The sequence below is a fragment of the Homo sapiens genome, chromosome 2 (genome assembly GCF_000001405.40).
Source record: "Homo sapiens chromosome 2, GRCh38.p14 Primary Assembly".
Lineage (NCBI taxonomy): Eukaryota > Metazoa > Chordata > Mammalia > Primates > Hominidae > Homo > Homo sapiens.
Window position 1 is genome coordinate 194,250,752 of NC_000002.12, and position 6,953 is coordinate 194,257,704.

General features: G+C 40.4%; 2 annotated features.

Annotated features, from left to right (window-relative positions):
* Positions 2,740-2,809: an enhancer, noted in NCBI's record as "active region_16885". NCBI's record gives its function as "activates an Ori minimal core promoter by ATAC-STARR-seq in GM12878 lymphoblastoid cells {active_cell/tissue: GM12878}" and the evidence as "EXISTENCE:reporter gene assay evidence [ECO:0000049][PMID:35858748]".
* Positions 3,280-3,419: an enhancer, noted in NCBI's record as "active region_16886". NCBI's record gives its function as "activates an Ori minimal core promoter by ATAC-STARR-seq in GM12878 lymphoblastoid cells {active_cell/tissue: GM12878}" and the evidence as "EXISTENCE:reporter gene assay evidence [ECO:0000049][PMID:35858748]".

The window sequence follows — 6,953 nt, forward strand, 5'->3', positions numbered from 1 at the left end:
TTTGTATTTCTCTAATACCAGTGATGATGAGCTTTTTTTCATGTCTGTTGGCCACATAAATGTCTTCTTTTGAGACATGTCTGTTCATGTCCTTCTCCCACTTTTTGAAGGGGTTGTTTGTTGTTTGTAAATGTGTTTAAGTTCTTAATAGATTCTGGATATTAGCTCTTTGTCAGATAGATAGATTGCAAAAGTTTTCTCCCATTCAGTAGGTTGCCTGTTCACACTGATGATAGTTTCTTTTGCTATGCAGAAGCTCTTTAGTTTAGTTACATCCCATTTGTCAATTTTGGCTTTGTTGCCATTGTTTTTGGTGTTTTAGTCATGAAGTCTTTGCCCATGCCCATGTCCTGAATGGTATTGTGTAGGTTTTTTTCTGGAGTTTTTATGGTTTTAGGTCTTACATTTAAGTTTTTAATCCATCTTGAGTTAATTTTTGTATAAGGTGTAGGGAAGGGTTCCAGTTTCAGTTTTCTGCATATGGCTAGCCAGTTTTCCCAACACCATTTATTAAATAGGGAATGCTTTCCACAGGCTGCATCTCTTAATAGCATCTCTATTCTTATCCCTGCTAAAAAATAATTTAGCATAGTTGCTTTACTCTGTAAAGCTATGAGGTATGAAATTGAGTTTACCGGGGGAAAAGGAGGATATAAATTTGGCATGGAAAGAAAGAACAGGAAAGTTGTTCCATATTTTTGGGAACAACCAGAGTTGCCAAGATGGATGGAGTTGAAATCCAGGAAACAATTTTTCTTCATATTCTAGCAACTCAGCAATTACTGGGAAGCACAAAGTCTTCAGATCCAGAGGGCCTTTGGTGCATGTGTTCATATATGAATGGCCCAATTGCTGTGTATGGTTGATTATCATGACTTTTAAATTGTTGACAAATAAATTCTACTGCTATTTTTACAAACATTTTTTGATTTATGGAAAAGAAGAGCTCACCTTGATATAGGTTAAATATTCACCAGCTATAAGTGTAAGGTTTTGAGAGGAGCTACTAAATCTAAATGTTGTTGATTTATTACTCTCTAAACCTGGGTATTAGTGATATTTTTAAAAAGACAATAAAATTGGAAGTATGAACATTAATTAGCACATATATATGTGAAATGATAGGCACATTTTTACTTGTTTGTGGCAATGGAAATTTAGTCTTCAACAAAACAAAGTCCCAGCTATTCTCAAGGAGTTTACATTCTACTAGAATACATTGAATTCAAGATAGATTAATATGGATGCTATTCAATCACTTACTGCCGGTCTTCTTATTTCTTGAGCTAAAATGATTGTACAACTCTATCGAGAAAAATATATTTTCTATTTTTATAGATATTCCTCATGCACACCACTTCCAGTGAATATTGTTCTGATAATTGTTTTTATTAAACCAATTCAGAAACCATATATTTTATGTACATAAGAAAGGAAGCTAATAAGATTCAAACACATACTGTGCTAAATTCTTTAGCTATATATGTAAATTAAGGAGTATTGAGAAATGCTACTTTCTTCTGGATGCCATCGTCAATTGCCTGACTGTGCTAACAAAGCAACAGTAGGAAAGAGATCTAGTTTCACATCTTGAGCAACAGCAACACAGTAGTCCTTTATTGAATAAAACTGCAGGAACAACATTGTACTGAAAATATTTTCTGAAACCACAATTCAGTTTTTTTCCTGAAAGACATTTGCAGCTTTTCTTGCAAGTCAATTTATACCATTAGAGAGAAAATGAAGCTCAAACTTTGTCGTATTATATGGCTAACACAGGACAGTTTTATATGTGTATATATAGACTTAAGCAATTCCCTATAAATATATATATAAACACTGGTTGAATTGCTTCAGTCTTTACAGATTTTTGATTTATATTCAAGCTTAGTAATTAGGTAGCTATTTCTTTTTCTGTTATTCCTTTGCCTTGGTGGTAATTGCTCTCCTTTCTTTTTGAAAGAGTGAGTACAATGTGAGAGAGAATCATGCTAATGTTTAGAGAAACTTAGAGAACAAAGGAGAGAATATCTCAGTGGTATTTGAGTCCCCATATTCTGTTCAGTTATATATGATGTATACAGTTATCTTTGTCTTTCCTGTGGTTGACTCCTTCCTTAGATTATATGAACTAATACATTCTTTTTCTTCACTCAATCTCATTTGAATTTTTTTTTTACTTGTGACCCAAAATATTGAGGAATAGAAAGATGTTTGAATTTTATGAAAAGACAAGCGAATATTTACTGATAAAACGTTTAATTCAAGAAAAGTCCATCACAAACTTAAAAAAAATACTGTGAGAAGGCTGGGTGCGGTGTCTCACGCCTGTAATCCCACCACTTTGGGAGGCTGAGGCAGGCGGATCATGAGGTCAGGAGATGGAGACCATCCTGGCTAACACGGTGCAAACCCATTCTCTACTAAAAATACAAAAAAAAAAAAAAAAATTAGCCGGGTGTGATGGCAGGCACCTGTAGTCCCAGCTACTCGGGAGTCTGAGGCAGGAGAATGGCATGAACTGGGGAGGCGGAGCTTGCAGTGAGTTGAGATAGCACCACTGCACTCCAGCCTGGGCCACAGAGTGAGACTCCGTCTCAAAAAAAAAAAAAATTACTGTGAGAAGGTGACGTAACATGAGACCTACACTCTTAACAGATTTTTAAGAGTGAAATCGTATTGTTATCTGATAGGCACTAGGTTATACATCAGATATCTAGTACTTATCTTGCATAATTGAAATTTTATACATGTTGATTAGCCACTCCCTCTTTCACCTTGCTTTATCCCCCGGCAACCATTATTCTATTCTTTGCTACTGTGAGTTTCACTTTTTTAGATACCTCATATAAATAGAACCATGTAATAGCTGTCCTTGTATGACTGGCTTTTTCACTTAGCCTAATGTTCTCAAGGTTCATCCGTGTTGTTTCATAATGATCATTAAAAAGAAAAAAAAATCCATCCTAATAAATGTTTAGTTTAAAAATGAATGTATGTAACATGAAATGTGGTTTAAGGGGGACATAATTAGCAACAGTTTCACCAATTGATGCAATAATCCAGCTGAGCAATATGCAGCAACAGAGAATGGTAGTGGCAGTGGTAATAGAGAGCAAGGGGAAGATCTAGAAATATTTAAGTGATAAAGTTCACAGAGAATTATGAAAAATGGACTCCATAAAGCCAGTGGGAACCAGGCACAGGTGGAAGCCTTGCCCTCTTCCAAGTTATCAGGATGAAAGCCTCACCCTCTCAGGTGCATCTGCAAACCCACACATCCCTGCGCTCTTGGGGGCCTGGGAAGTCCCCTCCTCTCACAGACTCAAAAGTGCTTCCTCCTGCTGCCTGGACTCTCCTCGCTTCTGGTGCACTTCAATTTCAGAGCAAAGTTAAAGCTGAGCCCGGGTGCTTATGTGACCCAACCAGGTATGCGAGCATTTGGAGCAGTGCTGACATGCCAGACCCCTACTGCCTCGGCCCCATCAGGGCTTTCAGCACCAACAAGCACAGGAGAAAGTCTGAGGGGGACAGAGTACAGCTCAGCACGGGCCTGCAGGTGCCCCTTGGAATGAATAGCCTTGGCACCATGGTCACTGTAGATGGCAGGATGATGGGAGCAGGAGGTAGACAGGCTCCTGGACAGAAAAGGGGTGCATCCCCAGTGAAGCCCCAACTTCAAGCCAGGGATGACCTGAAGCCTGGGGCCAGGCTGCAAGTTCCTCAGACCTGAGTGAGAACTTATGCTGCTTTTTCCAGGCTTGCCCACGGCTGTCCATGGACCAATCTGCATGCACTTCCACCCATCTAAAGCCCATAAAAACCCTGGACTCAGCCAGACTTGGGCAGATGATGGGATGTCTTTTCTGTAGATAGGAGCTGCTACCCACTTCAGGTCTCCCCTCTGCAGAGGGCTGCACAGATGATGGGGTGACCTGCCTGCAGAAAGGAGCTACCCATTCCAGGTTTCCTCTCTTCTGAGAGCTGAACTCTTTGGGATGACCTGCCTGCAGAAAGGAGCTACCCACTTTGGGTCTTCTGAGAGCTTTACTGTTGCTCAATAAAGCACCTCTTCACTTTGCTCATCCTCCAGTCTTCCACATACCTCATTTTTCCTGGGACAAACTTGGGACCTACTGAAGGCCACGGCTAAAAGAGCTGTAACACAAACGGCACTGAAACATGCCCCTTGCTTGCCACATTGTGGGTGACAAAAGGAGAAAAGAGAGAAAGAGAGAAGAGATGCAGCCCTTTGAGAAGCCCAGACCTAGGAGATCCCCAAGCCAGGGCCGTGACACCCACTTTGGGATTCTGCAGTTCCCAGTGTCTTTAAGCTTCCAGGCACCCCCATATTCCCTGGTGCCAGCAGTGGAACCACTTGTAGTACAACTGGTCCAGATGTAGCTTTGCAGGGAGCCAACATGCATGCTGGCACTAGAGCTGCCCTCCCTGATGCAGCCCGTGTGCAGTGGCTGGACCCTGTGTTCACTTGCTCATGAACTCCTCGCCACTCTGTACCTGGTTCACCCTTGGCAGCTGTGGGATCCAGGCTGCTAGTGCAAGCTGAGTGCAGCTTGCCAGGCTGTGTGGACAGAATGAGTCCAGTGGGCCTGTGCAAAACTTGAGCAAAGGCACCACCAGCCACAGATGTTTCAGGATGGCAAAGCAACACCCCAAGGATCCCGTGACAAAATGTTACAGAATATGAAATATGTGGGATAATAAGAACAGAATGTTGAGTAAAAGCCACATTTAAAAAGCAAGTATAATGTTCTTCAGATCCATCTGGGGGAATAAACCAGACACAGAAAGACAAATACTATATGGTTTAATTTATATGTAGATTCTAAAATACTCAAACACAGGGAAGCATAGAGTAGAATGGTGGTTACCAGAGGCTGCTAAAAGGGGGAAATGGGGAGATGATGGTCAAAGGGTACAAACATTCAGGTATTAATAGGGGTGTGAGGAAACTGGGAGGTGATAGATGTGTTAATAGCCTGATGACGGTGATGGTTTCATAGGTTTATCCTCAAACACATTGAGTTGCATACATTATCAGGCTTTTTACATGTTAATAATACTGCAATAAATTGTTTTTTAAAAGCAAGCAAGCAAAAAAAAAAAGCAGATTGGTCAGAGATGTAGAAAAATGAGACTTGAAGGTATTTTGGAAATCAAAGACTAGTTTCCCACAGGAAAAAATAATTAACTGTAAAGAGCTGTAGATACAAAAGTGATACCCACATTATTTAAAAAAAAGGTGGAGGGGAGGCTAAAGAAATGTACACAATCATGGTAATATACAAAGTACCAGTGCACAATACTGGACTGGAAAACACAAGACTTCATTTTTTTCTCCTTGCCTTGTCTTTAATTAGTTGTATGATATCTAATAAACCTCTAATTGTTGGGGAAACCAGCCTCACACCACCCGGCCGGTACCCCGAGTCCGGCAGAGACAAAGGAGTTAGAAAGAGACAGAATAAGTGTTTAAAAGGCTGATCCAGGAGTCCGGAGCGTAGGAGGCTTGCTCAGGGCCCAGAGCTCTTCAGCTCCACCTAATTTATTGGTTTACAAACTCTTCGTTCTTAGGGCAGATGGGAGGGGTAAGAAGGGATGAGGAAAAGGATTAATCTCTGAAGGAGAACTTGTGAGTCATTCAAGAAGTGGTATAGCAGTGGTGGTTTCTGTGAATTTCCTCAAGCAAAGGTGTGTGTCTAAACTACTTAAGATCTTTAACTTATGGGGACTGAAATGGGTGGGAATGGGTTTCAGGAGGAGCCAAGATGTTTGATTATACTCTACTGCTTCAAGGGAGTGTTATCTCCCTGAGCAACCTGTGGAATGCCGTGGAGTGGTTATGTTCTCTGGGCATAAAGACATGAAGGCAATAAGGAGACTTTTCTCCTCACAGGCCGCCCATGGCTCCCCATGGGTGTCTCACACAGGGGAGACTAACTCATCTGGTATCCCAGAAACTCTCTTTCCCACACTAATCATCTCTGAGGTGTGGGTGGTATGAAAAGAAAGATGACCTAGGTGACTTAAAAATTTATTACAACTTTACATTCCCATAGTTCTATTTTTTTTTCAAAATTTACTGTTCTAGAGAATAGCAAAATTTATTTGAATATTATATCTTTATAACACACACTAATGTTTAGCCCCTTACTAGTTTATCCAAAAATTTTCATTGCTTACTTTAAACTAAACCAGTGCCAGATACTGAGGATATGGCAAGGAACAAAATAAACTTTCAGGGTTTATTTTCCTTAAAAGCTGGTGGAAGATAATAACAGTAAGCTAACAATCACACAAAAATACTAAAATAAAAATGATATAATGAAATGTAATTAGAACCATGTGATATGCAAGGACATAACAGGGAACAATTTATAATAGGTTAAAGAATAAAGTTACATTTGATCAAATACCAGAAGATGAGTAAGAATATGTCAAGTGAAAACACTGGGAAGAGAGAAGGTCCTAGATAGTAAGATATGTGTGGCAATAATGGTGTGACAGAAGCAGTGTGAACAAAAAGGACTTGGCTTGAAAAGGCTGGGGATATTCCAGGACAAGAGCATGTTGAAATCTGTCAGTTGTATTTAAAATCACAAACATAATCTTTAGTTGATTTTAAAAAAACAGCCATTTGTAGGCTTTTAAATCCAAGAATAATGTGATTCCATTTGTATTTTTCAAAAGCACTCTGGTTATTTTAAAAAGGAAAGTCTGGCTGGGTGCAGTGGCTCACGCCTGTTATCCCAGCATTTTGGGAGGCCGAGGTGGGCGGATCATGAGGTCAGGAGATCGAGACCATCCTGGCCAACACAGTGAGGAGGCCGAGGTGGGCGGATCATGAGGTCAGGAGATCGAGACCATCCTGGCCAACACAGTGAAACCCTGTCTCTACTAAAACACACACACACACACACACACACACACAC